Source organism: Homo sapiens, chromosome 1 (genome assembly GCF_000001405.40).
Source record: "Homo sapiens chromosome 1, GRCh38.p14 Primary Assembly".
Classification (NCBI taxonomy): domain Eukaryota; kingdom Metazoa; phylum Chordata; class Mammalia; order Primates; family Hominidae; genus Homo; species Homo sapiens.
In genome coordinates, this window is record NC_000001.11 from 53,107,122 (window position 1) to 53,131,734 (window position 24,613).

The following is a 24,613-nucleotide window of genomic DNA, read 5'->3' on the forward strand; positions in this document are numbered from 1 at the left end:
CTCCAGCCTGGGGACAGAGTGAGACTCTGACTAAAAAAAAAAAAAAAAAAAAAAAAAAGGCAAAGAAACCATAAAAAGCTAGAAGAAATATAGGTTGAGATCTTATCATGTCTCAGTATAGGAAATGACTCTCTAAGAACAAAATGAGCAATAAATCAATAGATTTTACTACATGAAAATAAAGAAATCCCTAAGCGCAACATAGCATCCTGGATTGGATCCTGCAACAGAGAAAAAGGACATTCGTGGAAAAACTGATGGAATCCAAACGAGATCCGTAACTTAGTTAATAGTGTTGTACCAATTTAATTTCTCAGTTTTGACTAACGTACCCTAGTTATGTAAACCGCTAACATCAGGGGAGGCCAGGTGAAGGGTGTGTGGGATCTCTCTGTACTGTCTACAACTTTTCCGTAAACCTAAAACTATGCTAAAATGGAAAGCTGAATGCTTGAGAAGCTAAGACAGATTGCAATACAAATAAAACCACAAAGCAAGTGACGAGCTGGAGAGACTGCGTGACCAAGCACTACCATCCTAAATCTACTAAGAGCTTTTACAAATCTTGGCCTGGTTTCTACCTTCACTATCTCCTCTCATCAGAATATCAGCTCCCTGGAGGGCGGAAGCTCTGTGTTTGTTCACTGTTGTGTCTCCAGCCCCGGGAAGAGTTCCCGGCACATACCAAGCACTCAGTAAATATTTGCTGCGTAAACCAATAGACCACAAAAACCCGACAGGAAAACGATGGAAAGATACTACCAGGCAATTCGTGTTACAAAAGAAGAAAAGTCAGTGGCCAAAAATGCTTTTTAAAATGTTTAGTTTCATCAACAAATTCAAGATATTTCCACCTGTCAAACTGACAAAGTATTTTTCAAATGACAGTGCACAATGTGGGAGGTTTGGTGAGATGGGCACCCTCACATGGTCCTGGCAGCAACCTTTCTCTAAAAGCATTTGTATCTTTGTCTTCACAGTCCCCTTCTAGGAGTGTGTCTTGTGAGAAATGCCAACTCTGAGGTGAGCATCTGGTAAGAGGCTTCCGTTGCATGCCTGCTCTTCCTCCAACCTGCCGCCCCACACTCACACTGCCTCCACCTGGGTCGCCTCCCACTCACTCTTGTCCTCGGTAACCCTCTTCCCCTCTTTCAAGACTCAGTTTACACACACGGAGAACATTTGGAAGCTCGTAAGAAGCCAAATGGAACTTATACCTATATAGACATTTCTTTACAACTTCCTTTACAATTACAATCATTTTAAATGTGGGCCTTGGCAGGGACAGCTAGTTGCCTATGCAGTCTCCATTCTCCCGTCCTTCCTTAACAGAAGTCCTATTATGTTGTGGGGACCAAATGGGACCTGCCATCAAGCTCTGATTCTCTTGCTAATGGGGTGGCCATCGAGAGGTGAGTGGAAGTCGTTGGGTGGTGATTCCTGGAAAACTCTTAAGGAGGTGCCCATTCAGCCAGGACCCTTTGGTCCGTTCCTCCAACTTTCTTCTTTCTGCCTGGAACATGGGGATAATAGCTAGAGCTTGAGCAACCTTCATGGACCATGAGACTCAGATGAAAGCCAGGTGCTAAGCATGGCACGGCACACAGGAGGGCAGGGCCTGGGACCCTGGTGACTGCCAGCTGCCCACCTCCCACTTCTGGACTGTTCTTCAGGAACAAATGCAAACCTTACCTTACTTAAGCCTCTGCTGATCTGGCAGCCAAAAGCAAGTCCTGACTCGTGTGTGCTCATACTAATAACCAATGAATTTATCCTGCAGATTTTAATCAAGAATTATACCTTTGATTATTAAATGGGGAAATGTACATTTTCTTTTGGCTTTGAGCCTTCACGGGAAGACTTTTCTGCTTGTCCCATGAGGTCCGTGCTCCTGGTGGCAGCTACATAAAACACAGAACGTGCCTGGGGACGTTAATAGCCATGCCTATCAAATACCCACACACTCTGCCCTGTGCCTCCCTGCACGTTTTCTAGGCAGAGCCAGAGTCCACCTCTCAGCTCCCCTCTTCACCTGCTACTTGCAAATTCTCACCGAGATGCTTCCAAACCCACCCCTAATAACATGTCCCCAAACCAAGCCCTAAAGGTGGGAATTGTTCCTTCCCAAGCACAGCTCCTGGAAGCTTCCTCCAATCCCTGAGAGGGTAGTTGGGAGCTATAAATAGAGCCCAGTCATTACTTAATCTCTGTGGTGTTTTAATAAGATTCGAAAAAAAAGAGAAGGGGCCAGACCTGATTAGTGCTCTGCTTGGGTTTCTGTTTTGCGTGCTGCACTGTGAGCAGGCGCCAGCCTTCTGGAGCGGCCCCCCGGAGCCCTGGAAAATGAATTCCTGTCTTGGAGGGTCATCCAGGGACATGGCCTGTTGTGTTCCTCTGGAGTCATCTTTGAGACAAGGATGCAGATCTTTGCCCCTGTGGTGTGCCTTATGTCCCCACGCAGTGGGCTCCCACTTTCCATTTGTCCCACTTGCCCTGGTTCTCAGTTCTCTTCCTGGTCATCAGTGTTTTTGTTCAGTCTTCAGCACCTGGTAGGCACCTGTTCTGGGCCAGGGCAAGGGTCAGGAGGCCCCTGGTCCCTCACTGCCAGTGTCCCCATCTCCTTCACAGCCTCTCAGAGCATCAGGAGTGGCTGTCAGTGCACCCACTTGTCCGTCTGTCCTAAGATGGTGGGCAGCCCTGGGGTGGGGGCGTGAGGGGCATTTGTACTTGCTTCCCAGCTCCCAGCACAATGTCTTCACCCAGAGCAGCAGCTGAATACAGCGGAGCTGAATGGAAAGGAAGTGACTGTGCTCCTCCCAGGGCACCCCATCCATGCCTCTGCTCACCTTCTGTCCACTCCACCCTGCTCTAATCCATCCTTCCCAAACCCACCAGCTTCCCATTCCCAAAGCCTAACAGCCAGCCCCTCAACCTGGGCCTCCTGTCTTCAAGGTTGGGCTCTGCCCAGCCCTCCCAACCTCATCTCCCAGAACCCACCTCCAGAAGCTTTGGTTCATGCCCTGCAGCCTCCTCACTGGCTCATAGGCCTTTGTGTTTCAGAACCACAGAGCTAGACGGGATCTTGAAAATCACTGGGGAAACTGAGGCCTGGAGAGGGGAACTGGCCTGCCCAGGGCCACACAGTAACTTATTATTATCAGAGTGGAGATGAGGCCACAGGTCTCCTAGGTTCTGGTTTCCTGTCCCAGGACGCCTGTGTTCTCTCCCTGTAGCCCCGCTCTCTGACCAAGAAACGGTGAGAGCGAGGCCCAACACCCAGCTTTGCAGAACAACTTGCCTCTGGGTTGAGAGCGGGTGGGGTAGGGCTGGGGCGTGGGGGGTGCGGCTCTAAGCAGCAGGATCAGTTTTCACCACGTGAAAAGCAACCCAAGAGCAGGAAACACTCTGGAACATTTGACTGTGGCACGTGTTTCTGATCTGGAGCCCCGCAGCCCCTGAGTAAGGGCAGGCAGTGGTGAAGGAGGCAGCACCGATACCTCCTTCCACCATGTGGAGAAGCCGTTCTGAATCATAAGACCCAAGAAACCATGAATCACAGTTACCAGATCCTAGAAATAACAGATCTTACAAATGAGGTTTCTTGAAGTTCCTCTTTCCTCGTCTTTAGGATGTTCACTCTCCTAGTTCTCCTCCTGCCTCTCTGCTTGCCCCTGCTCTGTTTGCTGTGCAAAGCCCACAGTGCGGCCGTGAGCCAAGGCCCGTCCTAGGCCTCTGCACCTGCTTGCTGGGCACATTCTCCCTGGACCATTCCAGTTCCTCCTGGGGATCAGACCCCAATGCCACTGATGACCTTAAACCCCACGTGTGCATTCAGCAAACTCTGCGCACCCACTCGGTGCCAGGTGCTGTCCTAGGCTCCAGGATACAGCAGGGAACGGAGGTTAAAGAGCCAGGCTTCACAGGGCATATTACATTCCAGTGGATGTGGGAGGAAAAGAAACACGTAGATATGATCATGTTGGGTAGTAAGAAAGGCTATGAGGAGAAGTGACTCAAGAGAAGACAACAGAGAGGCAGAGCCTGGGAGGTCTCAGGAGAGGCGACACCCAGGAGAGATGTAAATGGAGTGAGGGAAGGAGCTGCATGCTTTCTGCAGGGAGGGCCACCCAGAGAGGAGGCAATGACACCCAGACAGGAAGGACAACGAGGCGGGTGGGGCTGGAGCCAGGGCAGGGAAAGGGAGAGTTGGGGCGGAGGTCAGAGTCTGATGTGTGTCAGCAAGTGCCTGTAAGCTGCGGTGCAGGCTACGACTTTGTTGCCATGTGCTGGGTTGAGAGCAGGTTTTGAAAAGGATGCCTCTGGCTGCAGTGCTGAGAACAGAGGACAGGAAGCAGAGAGGAAGCGGAGGCCAGGCCAGACACTGGAGTGGGCGGCAATGGCGGGAGTGGCAGGGGAGGTGGAAGGGCCATGGCTTGGGATTTGGTTTTCAAGGTAGAGCTCACAGAATTTGCTGAGGAACTGGCTGCAGGGTATGAGAGAATGAGAGATGTCAGACCAAGATGGGCAGGGCGAGAAAAGGGCAGATTTATGGAGAAATCAAGAGTTGAGCTTGGGCCTGTTAATTTTGAGATACCTCTAGACACTTTATGTGAGAATCTGGAACTCAGGTGAGAGTTTTCCAGGCTGGAGACTAAATTCGGAAGTGCCAGAGTCCAGAAGGTGTTCAAAGCCCTGGTATTGGATGAAGTCTTGCCAGCCAAGTAAGCAAACACAGAACAGACCCTGCCTGGATCTCTTTCTGGCTCCAGACCCTATAGGTGACAGCCACGCGATAGGAACAGCATGGCAAATATTTGATGATCCTTAGTTCATCACACACTCTAAAGGGTAAAAGAGAAGCTGAAGATCTTCCTGGAGAAATGAAGGGAGTGGTAGACTGATTGCATCGATGGCCTCGGTTTGTAGACTCCATTTCCCTTGTAACATTGTGGTCCCTTCCCACCCTGAGTCTGGGCTTGGCCACCTGACTTGCTTTGGCCAAGAGGGTATTAGTGGACTTGCTGAAAGCAGAGGCTTGAGAAACATTTGCATGTTTTGATTTCCTCTCTTGCTCCTCTACCTTTGTTATTAAAAAAAATGCCTGGGCTAGCTCTCTCCTGGAATCCTGTCGCCACCATGAAACAAATCTAGGCTGGCCTGCTGGAGTACAAAGATCACAGAGTATAGCTGAATCATCTCAGCCAGACTCCCCTAGACCAACTGTTCCCCAGTTGAGCCACCAGCTGCCTGCAGACATGTGAGTGAGCTCAGTCCAAACCAGCAGAACTTTCCAGCTGACCTATAGACTTGTGGCTGTTGTTTTAAGCTGATAAATGTTGGGTTGGTTTGTTATGCAGCAGTAACTAGCTGATACAGGGAACGAGAGTTTCTTTAGACAGTGGGTGGGAGCCTGTGTATGGGCATCTATCCCCACGGGGGAGGAAAGGAATGCTTCTCCACAACCTTAAGCCAAGAGAACTATTCAGAGACCTTGGCTTGAGTCTCTTAGAATTTGAGGAATGTAGGGGCTGGTGCCTGACTCATGTCCAAAGGCCCTGGGAAAGGCCAGCACTTCCAATAGGGATATGTATGCTTCCCATGGGCCAGACATGACCCAACAGGGTCACCCAGAGGGGTGAGGTGACCCCAGCAGAGGAGTCAACCAGAGCCCTGGTCTAGGGGATGTTGTAAGTAGCCAGATGGAATAAATTGCCTGAGTCCAGGGGACAGCAGGTGAGAGATGCGAGAGAGAAGAGGGGCTCCAGAGAACCCATAGAAGTAGTCCTGGAGAGACACAACGAGGGAGCACCTGCTCCAGCTCACCCCTCTCCCAGTCTGGGCAGCCCTTCCTAGCCCACTCCCTCACCTCTCACCAGGGAGCAGGCAGAGCAGGAAAGAGAAACAAACTCACCACGACCCTCTTCCCACTGCAGCTTTCCCAGTCTGAGTCAGATCCAAAAGGCTAAGACAGGCTTAGTTTAAACTGCAGGAGTTTGGAGTTTTAATGTTAGGCCTAGACTTCTTAGATCTGAAATTGACCAGGAAGTGAGAGGTACTAGAAGGTGTTCCCTGAGCGGGCTTAGTGGGGTAGCCTGTGGAGCCCAGCACACCATTCCTGGGTGGGGCTTCCCAGGCTCCATCCCAATCCCTGCTCTCTCACCACCTGTCCTGCAAGAGCCCCTCTGCCACTAGGGTAGCACCTAACACCTCTCCCTGGCGATTTCCAAACCTCCGTCTCCAGCTTAGACTCCCCCATGAGATTCTCATCCACTGGCCAACCATCAGTTGACACCTACCCCAGGATGCCTGCACCTGCTCCAGACCATCCATCGCTTGGTGACCACACCACCATCCACTTGGATGCGTGGGCCAGAAATCTTCATGCTGGGTGATCAGCACACCTCACCTCCTACTCACCCACCTCCTGCTAAGGATCCCTCCTGAGCAGCCCTGCCATCTGCCCCCTTCCCCATCCCCAGGGCCACCACTTGGCCCTGTCCCTGGCTCTGCCTTCCCCTCCTACCTCCCCTGCAACTCTGATCCCTGGTCAGATTGAACCTTCTGAATTGGATCATGCCGCTTCTCTGTATAAAACTCATTTTCTGTGGCCTTTAGGATGCAACTTAGCTTTTGGCCTGGTTCACGGTGCACTTTGAGGCCGGTCCCCACCTGAATTCTCCAGCAGGGGTTTCTGCCTGCCTCTCACCCCTTCTGCTGTGTCACACTGATGGTGCTATGCCTTCTCCCCGCAGACGGTTCCCTGCAGCTCAGGACCTTCGCACAGCTATCGCCCCCAGGCCTGCCCTCCCTGCCTCCCCATCTTCCCCTCCCTTAGAAGGGCAGTGGCTTCCTGCTCTCACCGGCAGCCCCAGCTTCCCCATTGCAGCCCCAGGCCCCCATGTTGTCCCTGTCTGCTCGTGGGTCTGACCACTCCTCCAGGGCAAGGGCTGGCTCTGAGTCCCCTGGTCCAGGGCCTGGCACAGAACTGGCACTGGTGAGGGAGCGAATGCACGAAGGACAGGAGCAGGGGTGACCTGCAGGGGACCCGGGGAAAGGGAGTGGAAGGTGGCTGTGCCGCTGGGTCTGCAGTGCTTCCCTGGAGAGGGAGCCTAGGTCTGAGAAGCAAGGTTAGCTGCACTGCTGTGGCTAGGATGTGGCACTGCCATTGCTAGGGGGTGGCACCACAGGGCAAAGGGCATTGTCCTTGGAGTCAGACAGGACTAGGTTGAATCCTGTCTCCACTACCTACCTACCGGTGACTCTGGAAAAGTCACGGCACCTTTTTGAGCCCCATTTCCTCATCTGTAAAAAGAGGACCAATAAACAAAGGGAGGGGCCAATAACAGCCAGCCTCCCACCCTACAGGCTGGGCATCAGCAAATGCTCACAGATGTCTGCTCTGCGCCCATCCACAGGCAGAGAGGGGCAGACCCCGTCCAGGCTGCAAGGTGCTTCTAGCCTGGTGGGGCAGACGATGCAGCATGAGCCCAGCGGGCAGCCCAGAGCTCAACCCACCAGGGTGATCATGGACTCCGTGATCACCCCCATCTCCACACCCCGTCCTGGCCTCTGGGGGACCTGGCAGGGCAGGCTCGGGCCTGGCGTTCCCAAGCGGGGTGTGGGTGGCAATAGTTACCGGATGAGGTCCAACAGGGCATCGGCTGAGCTCATGATGGGCTTCCCACTCTGCTCCGTGGTCTCCTTCTGGGCCGCGCTGCCTGGGTGGATGATGGAGACCATGAAGATGCCCACGATGACAGCCATGAAGGTGGTCCACAGGTAGTACGCCACGGTGAGGACGCCCAGGCGGCTAGAGGTCTTGGCATCCAGGGAGGCAAGTCCGGACATCAAGCTGGGAGGGCGAGGGGGTCAGGGGCTGTGGTGGGGAGGCCAGGGCCTGGCTGGCACTCAGCGCTCACTCAGCCCCTCCTGGCCATGTCCAGCTGCCTCACAGTGCTCCAGGGAACCCCATTCTTCCAACAATCCAGTCCTGTGCTCCTTCCAGCCTCTCTTTCTGCTCTGCCCTCTCCCCCACGCCCCGGGGCGCAGGCCACACACATCTGTGCCTTGAGACCTCTGCACTGCTAGGCAGAGAGCCCAGGCCAGGGTGGCTGTGGGATGGTGGGGACACTGTTGGGGGAGTGAGAGATTAATTAAGGAAATGCGTGTGCTTTACTTTGTTGCCTCAAGTTTCCCATGCTTGGTGTCCTCTCAGAAGCTTCCTTCACTCTCCTGACCCCTGCCCAGCCAGGCAGGACCAAGCTTGGTCTACCTCTGAGATCTACCTGCCTCTCCCCCAGAGTGAGGAGCCCATTCTAGGACCCCCACAGCCCCTGGCTGCTCCATCAGGACGCTGCCTGTCTGTTTGTGAGAGGAGGGATGAGTCTGACTTCCCTGTGGGTCCCGAGAGGACGGCACCGCAGGCGGTTCCTGCGGGCTCCTGGACGAGCTAATGAGGAGTGAGTGAGAGCGCTGGGCTGGGGGCTGGTGACCCAGGTCCTAGTCCCAGCTCTGCCAACTGGCTGTGTGGCCTCAGGCAAGCAAGTCACTTCCCCATCTTTGGGCCTCAGGATCTCCATCTGTAAAATGGGGACATCTTGGGTTTGTGCCTGGGCCCAGGCTCCTTGTCACAGGGGGCTGTGTTGAGAGGGCTGTGGGTCTCTCTCCTCTCGGCTCCTCCCCACCCCTAGCCACCCTGGCCTGGGCTTTCTGCCTACCAGTGCAGGTCAGCCCCAGAGTACTGGCGTCCTGGAGCCCTGGAGCCCTGGAGCCCTAGAGCAACGCTTCTTGCAGCCATTGTGGGGGGTGTGGGACGGTGGGGGGTGTGGGGTGAAGTGAGATTAATTAAGGAAATGCTTGTGCTTTGCTTTGTTGACAAAAGGATTTTTCCCCAAAGCCCTTTCATTCTTTCAGATAAAGAAGTATTTGTCTGGTTTTAATCATGTAAACAAGAGCAGATAATCCCCAGCCACGCTCCTCTTATCATTAGATTCCATGCAGCAGCATCCAGCCCCAGGCTGAGCGTGAACACCGGCCCCCTCCCCCAGCGGGAGCCACCGCCTGTGAGGGCCCTGCCCTGCCTGCTCGCTGGCGCAATGGCTTACTCTTCTGGTAAGACACACTTTGAGCATCCCCTCTTGCAGGAAGCCGTCTCTGACCACCAGGCTGAGTGAAGCCTCCTTCTCTGGCTCCACAGTCCCTGTGCCTCCCACTGTCCCTGCCCCCACCTCACTGGACTGCGGACTCTTTACTGGAAGCACCTCCAGGGTTGGGCCAGGTTCTGATTGAATGCTGGGTCCGCAGTTTGGTAGCAGACTGCTGAGTGAAGGAGTGAGTGAATGAATGAATGAGTGTTTACAATCTCTGCTCATCCTCATCTGCCAGGATGCCATATGTTAGTGATGGGCTTAGGGTGGGTCTTAGACATAAATCCTGAAGGGCTCATAATGGGATTGTGCAGCCAGAGGAAATGGGGGGCTGCCCTGCAATCATCATCAAAGAGAGATTATCCCACGCAGGGCCGGTGCGTCAACCCAGGGCCAAACAGTCCTCCCACCATGACAGAACCCCCCGCAGTGGGGTCCAGCCGCCTCAGGCCACAGGGAAGCCATGTACCCGAGAGCAGGCCCTGCCTGAGGTCACACAGGACAGCAGTGCCCGGCTGGGCCAGAACTCAGGGCCAGACCCAGGCCTGTCCTCCTTCATTCACGTGCATTCAAACCTTTCGCACATGCCCACTCCGTGCCATGCCCTGTGCCCACAGGAAGAAATCAGAACCTGTCCCTGACCTCAAGGAGTTCCTAATCTGCCAGGGAATGGGGAGGGAGAAGGAAAGGACACTGGGCCACAAGTGCACTCAAATGGCCCCTGGACTATGTGGGAGCATCAGAACCGCAAGGGAAGCGGGGACAAGGAAATGCTGTCTTTGTTCAGAGAAGGGGGAATCACTTCGAGCTAGGAAAGTCAGGAAGGGCTCCCTGGAGGAGGTGGCATTTGACCTGGCTCTTGGAAATGGGAGAGGATTTGGAGATGGGGCAGACATGCGCAGCAGTGAGACAGTGGAAGGCAGAAGGGAGGCTGGAAAGTGTGAGACACCGTGCTGTTCGATGTGGCCCGAGCTCAGGTAATATCTGAGGGTTAGTGACAGATTGGTGATAGAAGGGATAGAGAAGATAGGCTGAGCTCAGGAGTAGGGTGGCCTTGTGGCACTTCAGCACAACTCAGGCAGCAGAATTTGCTGGATGTCTAGAAGGGAGAACGAAAAATTCCTTCCATTTGAGAAGATCAAAGTACACATGGTGTACTGGGAGGGTCACTGAAGTAGTACTTGTAAGATCAAAAACCTGACCTAAGAACTCACCAATGCAGATTAGATAGGAAGGGACGGTATAGCAGCCATCCGGAGTGATCGTGTCCCTGGAAGGGTGTTCCTAAATCAATGCTAAGTGGAAAAGCAAGTTACCAGATTGTTTGCATCTCTGCAGTGAGCCCTGGAACCTCCTGGGATGGTGGACTCCCTCCAGATTTGCAGTCTAGGCACATAGATGTGTCTGAGGGATTGTGTGGAGTGGGGTGCAGGTGAGGACTGGATTTCAGGAAAGGATAAAGGCCCCTCAGAAGGCCCCCCACCGGGGACGAAGAGGCCTAACACGGGGGTGGCGCCAACTCAGGGACAGATTGAGATGTGGGAGGGAGTGTAGGTTTTAGACAGAGCAAGAGGGATCCCTGACCCCACCCTGGGGCCCCCATCAGCTCTGGACAGGAGAGCACCCATGGACGAAATGGAGAGAATCCTGGGACCCAAGTCGTTCTGTGCTGGAGCCTCCCTCCCTTCCCACAAATGGCGGAAGGGAGAGGTGAGCAGCCGCGGGAACTGCTGGTGACAGCTGGCAGCACAGGCCAGCCTCCCCCGGAGTGCCAGGGCCACCGCAGGTGAGGGCGGAGGCCAAGAAGAATGGGAGCTGGGCATGCAGAGGTCGTGGCTTCCACTCAGAGCTCACAGGCACAGAAAGGAGGTGTAAGGCCCTGCCCTTTGGCTTTTTGAGGGATTCCTCCCTGCTGAGGCTCCTCAAGGTCCCAGGCTTCAAGGTCAAGCTGTTAAAGGTGACTTTTCTGAGAACTTGCAGCTGGTGCCCAGTGGTGGTGGGAGACCAGGTCGCGTGGACGGGCACGGAAACAAGCAAACTCTATAGGAAATGTAATTATTATCTTTGGGTGTTATAAGTAATTTTTGTTTTGTTTCGAATAGTCCTTCACATTCTCTATTCTTTCTAGATTGAGCCCGTCTTCTTGTGTGATGGAGATGACACCTCCTGGAGGACCCAGCAGCCTCAGAAGCCATCATCTCTCTGGGACTTTACTGTTCCCCAGACACCTGAACACCCAGCCCAGTGGATCCTTAACCTTCTGAGTGAAGCACTGTGGAGTTCCACTGCGAGCCACATTTGTAATTTAGAATTTTCTAGTGGTCACATTAAAAAGTAAAAAGAAACAGGTGAAATTAGTTTTTTGGTGAAATTAAGTTTAATACTTTATTTAACCTAGTTTATCCCAAATATTATCATTTCAATATGTCATCAATATAAAAATTTTTAGGCCAGGCACGGTGGCTCATGCCTATAATCCCAGCACTTTGGGAGGCTGAGACAGGTGGATCACCTGAGGTCAGGAGTTCGAGACCAGCCTGACCAACACGGTGAAGCCCCATCTCTACTAAAAATACAAAATTAGCCAGGTGTGGTGGCGCATGCCTGTAATCCTAGCTTCTTGGGAGGCTGAGGCAGGAGAATCGCTTGAACCTGGGAGGCAGAGGTTGCAGTGAGCTGAGGCCACGCCATTGCACTCCATCCTGAGCAACAAGAGTGAAACTCCGTTTCAAAAAAAAATTTATATTGCTTCAGGTTTTAAATTTTAAATTAAATTAAATAAAAGTTCAGTTCCTCAGTTGCACTGCCTGCTTTTGGGTCTCAGAGGCCTCCTCTGACTCGTGGCTGTTGTATTGGACAGCCCAATACAATAGTTCTGAGTTACAGATGGGGAAAATGGAGCACAGGGAGATGGAGGCAACTGGCCAGGCCCTCCAGTTGGTGAACCATAATGTCAAGATTGGAACAGGGATTTCTGATTCAGAACCTTGTGGGGTTCCCACTCCCACAGTGCCTGTCTGTGGCACAAACCTGGTTTAACTCTGGTGGTGGGGGAAAAGATCTGGTTTGGGCTATGATTTTATTTTTTATTAATTCTTTGAAACAGGGTTTCACTCTGTTGCCCAGGCTGGGGCTCAGTGGCACGATCATGGCTCACTGCAGCCTTGACCTCCTAGGCTCAAATGATTCTCTCACATCAGCCTCCCAAGTAGCTGGGACTACAGGCACTCGACACCATGCCTGGCTAATTTTTAAAAATTTTTAGTAGAGATGGGGGTATCTTGATGATGCCCAATCTGGTCTGGAACTCCTGAGCCCAAATGATCCTCCTGTCTTCACCTCCCAAAGTGCTGGGATTACAGGTGTGAGCCACCCAGCCCAGCTGACTATGATTTTAATGTGATCCAGCCCATGTAAAGCCATTTTAGTTCAATCTCGGAGTTCACAGCCTGCCCTTGGTAATGAGCCTCAGATTTGTGGTGGTGAGCTTCCCATTGTTGGAGGCATCCAGGTGGATCCTGGATGGCCACCTGTTGAGATGCTAGATGGAGGCTTCCAGATAGAGTGGGAGGTTCCATGAGGATGACTTCAAACATTCCTTCTGGCTCTGTGATTTATGGTGAGGGGAGAATAGGCAACCACCTCTCTCCCACACCACGCTTGGCTGGGTGCTCCTGGGAGCACCTGCGGTGTTTGAGGGCCCCAGGGAAGAGCCTCTGGGAGTCTGGAGGCTGGAACTCCCTCCTAAGCCATCTGGCCACCACTCAGAGCCCAGGGATTGTGGATCAAGAGATTGCAGTGATTAGAGACATTAACCCGCAGAGGCAGTGGGAAGGCCCAGCCTGTCTCAATCTGGTAATTGCTCCACTTGCAGGGGTGGGGGAAGGGAGGCAAAGACTGCCAGGCTCCCGGTGGAAGGAGAAAAAGGCTGCTGACTGACCCTCCCCTGGTTCTCGCACCAACCCCTGAGGTGGGACTCCTGACCCCATCTCACACTGGGAGGTGCAGGGCAGCTCTGCCATTTGCCAAGCGCTGGTTACAAAGGTGAGGGATTAGAAACCACGCCCCCACGAAGTCGAAGTTGTAGTCGCACCTCCCTACAGAGAGAGCCAAGAGAGCCTGCAGGCTGCCCAGCTGCCGGATGCCCCTCCCCCAGTTTGGGGTGACTCCCCATTGCCCTCCGCAACCATCCCAGCTCCTTCCCTGCCCTGCGTCCCCTGGGGCTGGGCCGCTCTCCTCCTCGTCCACTCTGCTCCTGGAAGTACCTTTGCACTGGATGTTCCTCCCGCCTGGAACTCTCCATCCACCATCCCTTCCCCAACCCTGGCCCAATGTCCCCAACCCTGGGTCAGCTTAGACATCACTGCCTCTGGGAAGCCTTCCCTGACTGCAGCCATCTCACCCACTTCCCCAGGGCACCCTGTGCTTCCCAGTTTGTTACGGAGCACCCTGCTAGTGGGCTCAACCCGAATCCCCAGGGCCTGACCCAGCACCTGGCACAGGACGGGCTGGCACGGAGTGCCGGGAGCCCAGTCCCCGCCTTCTTCTCCTTTCCTGTCCTGTGGATGCTGCTCAGCTCTGAAGTCTCCACTCAGGCACCACCGCCCTCTGAAGGCTGCCCTGGCCCTAGGCAAGGCGAGGAAGCTCCCGTAAGCATCCCTCACTCACTGCGAGCCCTTGGGCATGTGACTGGGCCTGGGTGTGCCTCAGTTTCCACTGAGGATGAGTGCGGATGATGCCGGTTTGCTGTGAGGCCAAATCTTGGGTTGGAGTGGTACATGGCATGTGATAAGTACGCACTGCATTTCAATTGTTATAATTTCCTCTGTCTTCACTGTCTGTCTGTGACCACCTGTCCCAGCAGACTGGAACTCCTCCAAGGCAAGGCTAAGTCTAGTTTGGCTCTAGGTCCTTAAAACCCAAGGTCTGGCACAGGCCTGGGTGCAGGGTTGCTGATGTGTGTGATGCTGAACCAGGGTGACATTCTAGATCAGACGTGAAAAGGACGACTTGTGTGCCCAGGTGACTGAGCAGCCATTGAAGGTTTCCTGAGAACAGATCACCAGTACCAGCCTTGGTCCCCGGATGGGCTTAGGGGAATGCCCACGGTGTTGTGTGTCTGTGTGACATCGAGACAGTTGGCACCAGAAATCTGGGAAGAGATGGGGGCTTGGTGAAGGGACAAGGAGCTGAATGTCCTGGGCAGTAGAGAGGGTGTCTAGAGATCAGCTTCAGGACTCTGCTTTCGGCCCTCTCCTTTCTGGTCATTTTAATCAATGGCTTGGCCAAGGCCCCCGACAGCATGTGGAGCAGATTTGTAGAGGACAGGAAGCTGGGAGGAATAGCTAATGTGCTGGATGAGGGAGTTGGGAATCCAAGCAGACCCCAGCAGTCAATTCTGACACAATGAGCCTGAACACAGACATGTGTTGGGCCGCACTTGGCTTCCACAGCTTGGAGTGCACAAACACCGGGGTGGGAGGGGGAGGCTGAGCCGTGGCTGCACACGTGGGGAGGGGACTTTGGGCTTTGTTTGCTGCCAGCTGGTGAGTCACCTGGGACGCGGGGCTGCCAAAGGGCTGGTGGGCCCCCTGCCTGTGGCTTCAGAAGCCCGGGGGCTGGTGGAGGCTGCTGCAGACCTGCTTTGACTCATTGAGAAAGGGACGGGGCGGGGTGTGTGTGTCCTGTAGAGGGCAGCTGGGTAGGCAGCAGGTGATAGAGGCACGTGCCTGGTTGCGGGGAGCAGCTGGGGGGCTGGGGGGCAGGTGCTGTGTGGTCCGGAGCGGAGCAGACCTGGGAATGCTGGGGATGATGGGAAAAGCCCTAGGGCTCTCAGCTCAGCACCAGGAATAACTTTCTGGCAGAGCTGTCCTGCTCTGGCAGGAACTACCTTGAGAAGTGGTGACCTCCCAGTCACTGGAGGTGTGCAAGCAACTTGCTAAAGTCACACAATAAGTGGGTTCAAGCCCTAGTCTGCTGGCATGACAGCATCCAGTCACAACCTCCTGGCAGTGGGAGGACCTGAGGGACAGTGAGGAGCCCCAAGCCCTGCAGCCAAGTCCTTGGGCTCTGGCCTTGGCTGACCTAGCCACAGAGGCTCTCCCCAGCTGGCCCTGGGATGCAGCTGCAGGAAGTCTACCAGACAGGCCGCAGGAAGGAGGCTTCGGGGGTCTGCGGGCAAGAGGGGTCCCTTCAGTCCATCTGAGCATCATGGCTTACTCTTCTTTTCCCCTGAGCAGAAGGCAGGCCCAACAGCTGACAGCCAGTGCCATGCCCATTAGCGCCAGCTCCAAGTCATGCTTCCCAGACGGCTCTGCCAAAGCCCCACACTCAAGCCGACTCCTCCTGAGGCCTAAGGCAGCATGCCCAGACTCCCACTCAGCTAAAGTCTGGGCCATCTCGTCTCAGCACACCCTCCCAAGGGCAGAAATTCCTCCACCACCTCTGCTTGCATATCTCAGAGGACAGAGCACTCACTACCTTCTGAGTCAGCCCCTCCACTAAGAGCTCGTGATGCTTATTAGGAAGTCCTTCCTGGTGTCACAATGAAATCCGCCTCCGGGGAAGAGCATTGGGCCACACTGGGCCCAGCCAGCCCTCTGGAGCCACATGGACCAAACCTCTTGGCCTCCACCTTGATTTCCATGGAGGGAAGGTGGGAGAGAGTGTGGGGCTCAGAGTGTGGGCGGTGGGTGCTGCTACCCTGGCATGCCCTGCTGCCCTCTGAAGGTCCCTCCTTCCCAGGCCTGGGTGCCAAGAGGGCGCTCCACTGGGACCTGTGAGAATGATAAGCTTGAACTGGATCAAAAGCAGAAGCTGGAGGAGCCACAGCTGCAGCCCTCAGAGCTCACTGTCAGACTGCCGGCCATTCTCAACCATTCTCCACCAAGAAGGCTGCATTCCCTAAGGCAGTCAGGGCCAGGTCCAGTTTCCAACTCCACGTGAACTGAATCCCCCACCCCTTCCTTGCCCATGTGGCAAAGATCATGAGGAGTCAGGGGAACTCAGGTCTCCTGCCTCCCCTCCCTGCACCAGCAGGGCCCCTGGAGTCTGCCCCGCACAGGGCTCAGGCGGGGCCATCCTGTGGGCCTCTCTCCAGTGCAGCGGTTCTCCACAGAGAAGGGCGGCAGCACAGTTTTCAAAACCTCACCCACCTTCCCAGGCTCTGAGATATGTGCCCACCCTGCCCGGTGTTGAACATTTGCACTGGGTGCTGTGGGGCTCAGAAGGGAATGAGGTGGGTCTGTGTTCTTCCTGGTGCTCTGGCCAGCGGGTGGGGAGACCAGCAGCAGAGCAACACCAACCCGGGGGTGGGGGTAGCTGTGACTGAGCGCCAGAGCAGGGCCAGCCCTCCGGGCATCGGGCTGGGCCTCCCAGAGGAGGGCACAGCTGGATGGAGCCTCGAAGGCCAAGTAGGAATTCTCTAACTGGAAGGGAGCGAGAGCATGGAAGTCTGTGGTGCAGGATAAAGCCTGGGAGCTTTTCGGAGTCACCAGGCTGGAGGTCTGACCCCACCCGCAGCCCACAGCGGGCCACGTTTCCCCTCTTGATGAGTAAGGCAAATCATCTGACTGGGCAGAAGGGCCAAAGGCAGGTCCCAGGGCTCACACCAGAAGGTTCAGTGGAGCTCGCCAAACTGTGGCTACCCCCTGACTCGGAGGGCAGCATCCGAAGCACAGGCTGTACCGGTTTGGCCCTCTGGCCACCCGCTCCTCTGCCTCCTCCTGCTCACGGCCTGTCCTGGGGAGTCTGGGCAGCCCCCTGCACACTGGCTCCCAAACCAGACTTTGACGGCTGCTTGGCCCAGGCCCATTTCCAATAAGTTAGAATGTGGGTGTTTGGGAATTTTCTGCCACACTAGAGTTCCTCAGGAAGGGGAGAAGGGAGTGTTGAGTTTCTCTGGCCAAACATGATTTCCTGATTCTAAGAAAAATCAGTTTAAAGTCCTTACAAGAAATAGGAAGGAAAACAATACATACACAACACACACACACACACACACACACACACACACACACACACAACACAGCTTCACAGACAAACCCACACCCACGCTTGGCTGTCTTTGCTATGTTGTGGAGCTCACAGAACACTCTATCATGCACAGCCCTAGTGAATCACAAACACATGGATTCAGTTTCCCCTGAAGGACGCCTGGTTTAAGAAACTGAAGAATGAGGGGAGAGAAGGGTTTGGCAAAAAGCAAGTGGAGAATTGGAGGCTCTAGCTGGATCCAGATGCTGGTCTGACTTACCCCTAATTCCTTGTGTCAAGCTTGTCTGGGGATGTGTGAAAACAAGGCTCAGTTGACCTCCCAAGGTGAGGTGCAAAGTCTAGCCTCAGTGGAATGGGGCCATAATGGGCCACACACACAAACACACATGGGCACACAAACACACACACAGAGCACCTGCCGGGACCTGCTTTGTAAATTAGCAGACAGCATTGTGCCTATTTTATGGCTGAGGCTAAGAGGGTGAACTCGAGGTGAGACCACAGTCCCGAGGCAGGGCAGCTCCCTCAAGAGTCTAGCAGCCTCCCAAGTGCCTTGTGACAGGCAAAAGACTTTGCAAACTCTGTGCCTCCCGAGTGGGTGAGTAAAACAGGATCACCAAGGTGAAGGTGCAGCGTGGAAATTCTTATGACATCACATTGGGGGAAAACCAAAGCAAGCAGGCTACAGATTTATTTTTGTGGAAGATACTTTTTGGGTTATACTGTAAGTTGAAAGCAAAAAGGATTGGGGTAGTGACAAGTGGCCTGCTCGGGGAAGAATGGGAAAGTAAGGCTCCCAGGCCCTGAAGGCTTGACTTTTCTAAATAAAGATATAATTGGCATGGCGTTAGTGAACTGTGGCAGCACACGGAAGACGGCTGAGGAGGGCAAAACCATGGGAGGGGGGCCCCAATGCAGGTCCCGTCCAGATGATTCGTTCCTATACTAATGTAATGTGAGGCAGAATTTTCTAATTTTTGTCCAAGGCGTCTCTGTTCCTGGGTGGACAGAGCAAGTTCCCCTGCAGGCAATTTTATTTTGCAAAGAATCTTTTGAGCAGCAAATGTCGGATGAGAAGGCAGCACTGTCAGGGGAAGGGAGGAGCTGTTGTGGCTTGATGAATGCCTCCTCCTTGAGAACTTGAGATCTGCAGAGTTATGGAAAACTGTGCCCATTTGCACCAGAGGATCAGGGCCTTCTGAGAGGAAAAAGACTAAGACCTGAGCCCCAGTTCCCTGTGATTTGAAGTTAGCACCAGGGTACGCTAGAGTCCCCCAGCCGAGATGGCCTGGCATTCAAGGCCTCCAAAATGAACCCAGTAGGAGGGAAAAGGGAATTGGGGCTCAACTCCCGGGGAGCTGATCTCAGGACATGACTGAGGCTGCTTTAGGAACAATTATTGAGCACTTCGGGGGGACCTAGGGGTCTGGAGGCATCCCTGTGGCCTGAGCAGCGTTGTGCACCTGCAAGGGGCAGTGTGCAGACTTCCACCAGAGCGTGCGGGACCTGCGTTCCACAGGGCCACCCCGTGGAGGGAACCAGAGCAGCAGGGCTGGTGGCAGGACCCCATGTTCCAGCTCTGTTTACACCAGAAGCTTCCACTGAATGAAATAAGCTGACTGTGGCCACGGGGTGGAGGCCTCCAGAGGGACACACTGGGCTTCCTGCTAGTACAGGGGAGTAGGACCATATTCAGTGTATTCAGTTTCAAGTCAGTAAAGCAAAAACAAAGTGTAATTAATTTTGCCTTTGAAAATCTCTTAAGTTGCCCATAGAGTCCAGGAGGTATAGTTTTGTGTAAGTTCATTCAAGACAGTTTCCCTTCCAGCCTTGGAGTGGGTTGCTGTTTCTTTAAGCAAACACCAGATGAGAGCATCAGCATACACTCAGAGGCCGTGATCTAAAACACCCACCCCTCTGCAGGCCCTAGAAACTCTCTGGCTTCAGGGAGGTGCTCACTGTTCAGGAGGTGCCTGGGCACAGCGGCTGGTGGAGGCAATTCAGGCCCTCCTCTCTCGTGGCCCTCACCTGGGGAAGAGCCCTTGGAAGGAGGAGTCTCCTGTCTCATTTAAATGATTTTCTCCCTTTTTCAGAGCACATGTAATTGAATTCACTTAAGTTAAATGCACATATGATGGGACTCCACTATAAGGCGGGGGTGGTGGGAGGGCTGAAATAAACTGAAAACCGCAAACCTGGAGTTACGCCGGGTTATACAGTTAAATAACTAAATGTACCCACCAGCAAGCAGATTTCACCAGTGGGTTCCCTGCATGGTAAGCCCACAGAGAGGCTCTGGCCAGAGCCTGCATATGACTGTCCTTGCTGGCAAGTGTCTTGATCTCTGGGAATGAATAAATCAGTATGTGGCATATTTGATTGCCCCTTGCTAGCATCGGGGGACAGGCCCAACCAGCTCTGGGGCCCAGACAGTTGGGCTTCTGATCCCATCAGCCAAGGACCTCACCTCACATCTGGTGAATTCACCAGTAAGAATAAGAACAAACCTTGTAGAGAAGAAATCACAGTGGCAGAATTAGCAATGTGGAGTGAGAGGATGGTTTCTTCTCTGTTATCCAAAATGTTTGTAATTTGCTTATCTAATTTTTTTTTTTTATGAGATAAGGTCTTGCTTTGTTGCCCAGGCTGGAGTGCAATGGCATGAACATGGCTCACTGCAGGCTCAACCTTCTGGGCTCAAGCGATCCTCCCACCTCAGCCTCCCAAGTAGCCAGGACTACAGGTGCCCACCATCATGCCTGGCTAATTTTAAAAGTTTTTTTTTTTTTTTTTTTGTAGAGATGGGGTCTCACTATGTTGCCAGGGCTTTATCTAATTTTTTAAAATATGAAAACATCTTTAAAGTTCAGCTCCTAACTGTCCTCCAGGGCCCATACAAATGCTGATGGTGAGACTTTCCCTGAACTCTGCTGCCGCTGCCCTCTGCTGCTTCTTATTCATTGAAAATGTATTGATCAGGCACAGGCAGTAGCAGGCCCTGTATGGGGCAGTGAGAAATCAGATGAAAGGGGGAGAGTTATATTCTTCAGAATTATTTTTACAGTAAGGGAGCAGTCCTTATTCAGAAGAAAGTTCTTGATGAACTACTTGGACAGAAGCTGAGCAGTGGCTCCACTCAACCCAAGCCGGCTCCAGGGAGAGAGGTGAGCAGAAGTGACTTCTGAAAGACATCCAGCTGCTCTGGGGACAGAGGAAGAGAGAAGGAAGGTTCCAGGAGAGAGAAGGAGGTGGACAGGCCCTCAGGCCACCCCGATGACCCAAGCCCTGGTATATCCTCCTCCCGCAGTGTGGCAGTGCCTGTGACTTCTATGAGAACACAACAAGGTGGTGGGATGTCTCCCTGTGGTTATGTGGTAGAAGACTTTGACTCAGAAGACTGGTGAGGACCGGGCTTCCTGCTGGCCTTGATGACCTACAGTGCTATGCTGTGAGCTGCCTGTGGAGACAGCTGGGTGGGGAGCTGCAGGCAGCCTCTAGAACCTGAGTGGCTCCACTGCACAGCTGTCAATGCTGGGCCCTCAGGCAGCAGCCATGGGGAATCACTTCTGTCCATGCCTGAGGGAGCATGGAGGCGGATTCTCCCTGGTTGGGCCTCCGGATGAGAACAGAGCCCAGCGGACACCTGGATTGCAGCCTAAGACTCTGAGCAGAGGACTCAGCCAAGCCCGCCCAGACTGCTGGCCCAGGGACTGAGGCAACCATGAAGTGTGTTTATGTCACTAAGTTTGTGATAATTTGTTACACGGCAATGATAACGAATACACACAGACACACACACAGAGAACCAGGAGATAACTGAAGGCACTACTTGAAGCAAGGAATGCTGGTGTGAATGGGAAGCTGATGAAGGCTGCTTGGTTGTAGGAGTGAAGGGCATAGAAAAGCAAGAGGCAGTAAGAATAGGAATTGGGCAGGGTGCGGTGACTCACACCTGTAATCCCAGCACTTTGAGAGGCCAAGGCAGGAGGATGCCTCGAGCCCAGGAATTCAAGGCCAGCCTTGGCAACATAGTGAGAGCCCCATGTCTACCCAAAATTTAAAAAATTAGCTGGGCATGGTGGCGTGTGCCTGTAGTCCCAGCTAATTGGGAGGCTAAGTCGGGAGGATCGATTGAGCCCTGGAGTTGAAAGTTACAGTGAGCTGTGGTCATGCCACTGCACTCCAGCCTGAGGGACAGAGTAAGACCCTGTCTCAATTAAAAACAAAAAAGAATAGGAATTCATGACAGATAAGGAGGCTCTGACTGTCATGGCGCAAGGAATGGCTCTGGGTGCCAGGTGAGTGCATCATGGAGAAGTGGGCAGGACCTGGCCAGGGCCCCTGCGGAGGCCCTGTGGATGTGCAGGTGTGCACGACTCAGGTGAAGCAGGGCATGCTGCATGGTCTGTACCAGTGTTGAGGGAGCACCCGGGTGTGCCTCAGTCAAGGGTGGCTTTCCAGGGCAGGGGACAGGTGAGCTGCAGGTGCTAATTAGAACCATGAAGATGGAAGAAGCCATCCAAGGGGCTTCCTGCTGAGAGCAGTGACAGAGGTGGCCACGGGCTGGGGGAGCATTCATGACACATCTGAGGAGCCTGGTGATGCTTTAATAAGTTAGAAAAACATGGGACATCTGCCAGGCATGGTGGCTCACGCATGTAATCCTAGCACTTTGGGAGGCCAAGGTGGGCGGATCACCTGAGGTCAGGAGTTCGAGACCAGCCTGGCCAACATGGTGAAACCCCGTCTCTACTAAGAATTCAAAAATTTGCTGGTCATGGTGGCGGGTGCCTGTAATCCCAGCTACTTGGGAGGCTGAGGCAGGAGAATTGCTTGAACCCGGGAGGTGGAGATTGCAGTGAGCTGAGATCATGCCACTGCACTCCAGCCTGGGTGACAGAGTGAGACTATGTCTCAAAAAAGAAAAAAAAAAAGAAAAAAGAAAAACATGGGACATCCATAACGTACCAGGAGCCATGCTGGGTCTTCACGTACATTCTCTTACTTACTTTTCGTAATAACCTCGTGAAGGAGGTATTCTTCCCACTTTATAGATAAGGACACTGAGGCTCAGATGCTAAAAGGCTTGTTTACATTTGCACATCTAGAGGGTGACTCCAAAGCCCTGTTCCTGCCCTGTAGCCTTTGCAGATTTCAACCACCCCCGCCCATGCTTCCTGCTCCCCCGCCACATTGTGACAGATGAAGCCACCACTGGTCAAGCGTGGGCTGCACTCAGTTGGACTGAAGCACACATGTCTGAGGAGGGACTTGGGCCAGGGGCTGGGTTGGAGAAATTCTAGAAAAAAAAGAGCCCACAGCTGGAAGATGCCAGATTATGGGAAGAGTGACTGAACTCAGCTCCAACCCCGCTGGCCCCACTGCCCTCCCACTGGGCCTCCTTTCTCCAGAGCAAGGTGTGCCTGTGACCCCTCCATGGCAGCCCAGGGGCCTTTCAGCCCTCACGTCCACCCTTGCAGTCACCCACACTTCTTTACACCTCACCACCTCCCTTTGCTTGTTGTTTAGATCTCCAACTTCTGAACGAATCTGTCACGCTGAGTACCAGGCAGAGGTCAGTGTGAAAGACAAGGGGGTCAATGACCTGATCCCCTCCTGGGATCTCAGAAAAAAACAAAGATGCACACGACCCTGCCCACGGAGGGGGCCATGCCGCTGGCCCGACCCCTTGACAGTGGCTTTCTTGTTCAGTGAGATGAGTGGCTCTTCCGAATAGGGATACTAGTTGGTTTGCTCACATAGATGTCACTACTGGACTAAAAGATGCCTGTCCCCCATTGTGTGGCATGCCAGCTGCGACCGTGAGGTCACTGAGCTAACGACACTCAGCTCATGCAGGTCACACACAGCGTCAGCATTGGAGACAGATCATCATCCATTTTACCAACAAATGGGGAGGTGGAAGGACTTCCCACACAGAACCTTGAGCTAGGTCTTGAATACAGAGTGAGACTTTAAATTAAAAGAATTAAAAGAGGGCGTGCATGGCAGGGGCTGGGCAGGAGCAGGAGTGTGGAGATAGACCCTTGTGGCATGCTGTGGGACTAGTGGGTGACCAGCCTGGTTCCAGGGCTTGGCATGGGGAAAGGGTGGCTGTTTGTCCTGGAGAGGAGGTGGGAACAGATGTCATGGGAGCCAGGCTTCGAGGCCCAGACCTGCAGATGGTTGGAACTGGAAGCTGGTGAGCCCAAATGTAACCCCCTGCCCCCATCCCCCCACTCCCCCGCTACTGCCCTGTAGCCAGGACACACTGCAGAAAACCCTTGCCTTCCTGGGTCACAGCTTGGAGCCCCTGGGGATGGGAGCACCACAGCCTCCTGCTGGGCTCCTAAGCTGTGGAGCCAGAAGGTCTGACCCCAGGACAATCAAGAGATTTAAAATCCTCAGAATACTTTCGGAGCTCTGAAAGCAAACCTCTGCTTGGACCCTTTGGGGTTCTAGCTCAGTCAGCTCAGGGTCAGGCCTGACATCTGAATTTTTCAAAGCAGCTCTGGTGATTTTGCTCTGCCCTGAGTAACAACCTCACACCAGAGTGGCTGTTCCTCAAAGGCAGGGACACCCAGCCCTGGGCTGGCCAGGAGCAAGAGCTCAGGGGACAGTGTGGATGGACTCCTGGCCAGGATGGATAATAGGCCAGTTTGAGGCCAAAGGAGGGAGAGTTCAGGAACGAGGGGTTTTAGGACTCAGAAATGCGTCATATCTCCCCCCTGAAGGTTTAATTTTCCCTTCATAGGAAAATGTTAAAGCGGTTCCATTTCTTAGTGACACGGTTGCTCTGCACCAGTCCAAACTCTATAATAAACAAATGAAATGTATGAACACGTCCTGGCTTTTCTCAACTTAATATCACATGCATTTCCAGCCAAGAGAACACTGAGTCTGGTGGAGGGAGACCAGGCATTTGAGAGCCAGAAGGTGGAGAGCTGGACGGGCCTTCGTTGCTGGGTAAAGAAGCCCAGGGTTGGGGGCCTCACCTCAGATCACATGATCGCTTGTGGTGGAGGCAGGTCGAGGACCCTGGCCTCTGACTTCTGAACAGGATTTTTTTGTTTTGAGTGACTTGTCCAAGGCCACACAGCTAATACATAGCAAGGCCAGGCTGTGTGACACCAGGGTCCATACAATGGCCTCTAAGGTGCCTCTGTTCTGAGAGAGGGGCAATGCCCAGGCAGTTAGGACAGTCAGCAGGAAAGGGCAGACAGAACTGCCTGCCAAGGGTCCTGGCTTCCTCCACCAGTGCACTTATTTAGCTGTTCTGTGATTGTCTATTTTCCTGTCAGTCTCCCCAGCAGTCTGTGAACACCACAGGACAGTCTCTCCATCATCTCTGTGTCTGCAGCACCCAGCACAGGGCCAAGTGTCCAGAAAGCACAATGCATGATTGCAGGATCCATTAATTAATTCACTTGACCAGTATTAATGAGCACCTACTATGTGCCTGGCACTTGGCT

At 53.6% G+C, this 24,613-nt stretch overlaps 1 protein-coding gene and 1 long non-coding RNA gene across 7 annotated transcripts in view, besides 5 other annotated features; one reads left to right on the forward strand and one right to left on the reverse strand.

Annotated features, from left to right (window-relative positions):
* SLC1A7 (solute carrier family 1 member 7) overlaps positions 1 to 24,613 on the reverse strand; it is a 55,456-nt gene that overhangs the window by 19,939 nt on the left and 10,904 nt on the right. For 3 of the 5 annotated variants that reach the window (NR_109858.2, NM_006671.6, NM_001287595.2), the window contains exon 3: positions 7,637 to 7,852. The exons of 1 other annotated variant lie outside the window; for it this stretch is intronic. Coding sequence is in view for 3 of the 4 variants with exons in the window: in NM_006671.6 (NP_006662.3) it covers positions 7,637 to 7,852 (216 nt within the window). In the remaining variant the exon portion in view is untranslated. Of the gene's footprint in view, positions 1 to 806; positions 1,514 to 7,636; positions 7,853 to 24,613 lie in introns of those variants that run through there. One more of the 5 variants, NM_001287596.2, reaches the window with a different exon arrangement.
* Positions 3,336 to 3,630: a silencer, noted in NCBI's record as "tiled region #13647; K562 Repressive DNase matched - State 20:ReprD". NCBI's record gives its function as "represses a minimal TATA promoter and a strong SV40 promoter by Sharpr-MPRA in K562 cells {active_cell/tissue: K562}" and the evidence as "EXISTENCE:reporter gene assay evidence [ECO:0000049][PMID:27701403]".
* Positions 3,998 to 4,722: an enhancer, noted in NCBI's record as "H3K4me1 hESC enhancer chr1:53576791-53577515 (GRCh37/hg19 assembly coordinates)". NCBI's record gives its function as "activates a minimal SCP1, AML or CMV promoter by ChIP-STARR-seq in primed H9 embryonic stem cells {active_cell/tissue: H9 hESC(primed)}" and the evidence as "EXISTENCE:reporter gene assay evidence [ECO:0000049][PMID:30033119]".
* LOC105379783 (uncharacterized) lies at positions 7,708 to 11,500 on the forward strand. Of its 2 annotated transcripts, XR_007066089.1 has the most exons (4): positions 7,708 to 7,792; positions 8,191 to 8,459; positions 8,990 to 9,111; positions 11,275 to 11,500. It is a non-coding gene; the product is annotated as an uncharacterized LOC105379783 (long non-coding RNA). The 2 variants fall into 2 exon arrangements; XR_007066088.1 differs by lacking the exon at positions 7,708 to 7,792 and having other exon boundaries at positions 7,931 to 8,459.
* Positions 8,059 to 9,041: an enhancer, noted in NCBI's record as "H3K4me1 hESC enhancer chr1:53580852-53581834 (GRCh37/hg19 assembly coordinates)". NCBI's record gives its function as "activates a minimal SCP1, AML or CMV promoter by ChIP-STARR-seq in naive and primed H9 embryonic stem cells {active_cell/tissue: H9 hESC(naive and primed)}" and the evidence as "EXISTENCE:reporter gene assay evidence [ECO:0000049][PMID:30033119]".
* Positions 13,485 to 18,262: an enhancer, noted in NCBI's record as "VISTA enhancer hs2585". NCBI's record gives its function as "enhancer in: neural tube[5/6] | limb[5/6]" and the evidence as "EXISTENCE:transgenic organism evidence [ECO:0001131][PMID:17130149]".
* Positions 14,799 to 15,598: an enhancer, noted in NCBI's record as "H3K4me1 hESC enhancer chr1:53587592-53588391 (GRCh37/hg19 assembly coordinates)". NCBI's record gives its function as "activates a minimal SCP1, AML or CMV promoter by ChIP-STARR-seq in primed H9 embryonic stem cells {active_cell/tissue: H9 hESC(primed)}" and the evidence as "EXISTENCE:reporter gene assay evidence [ECO:0000049][PMID:30033119]".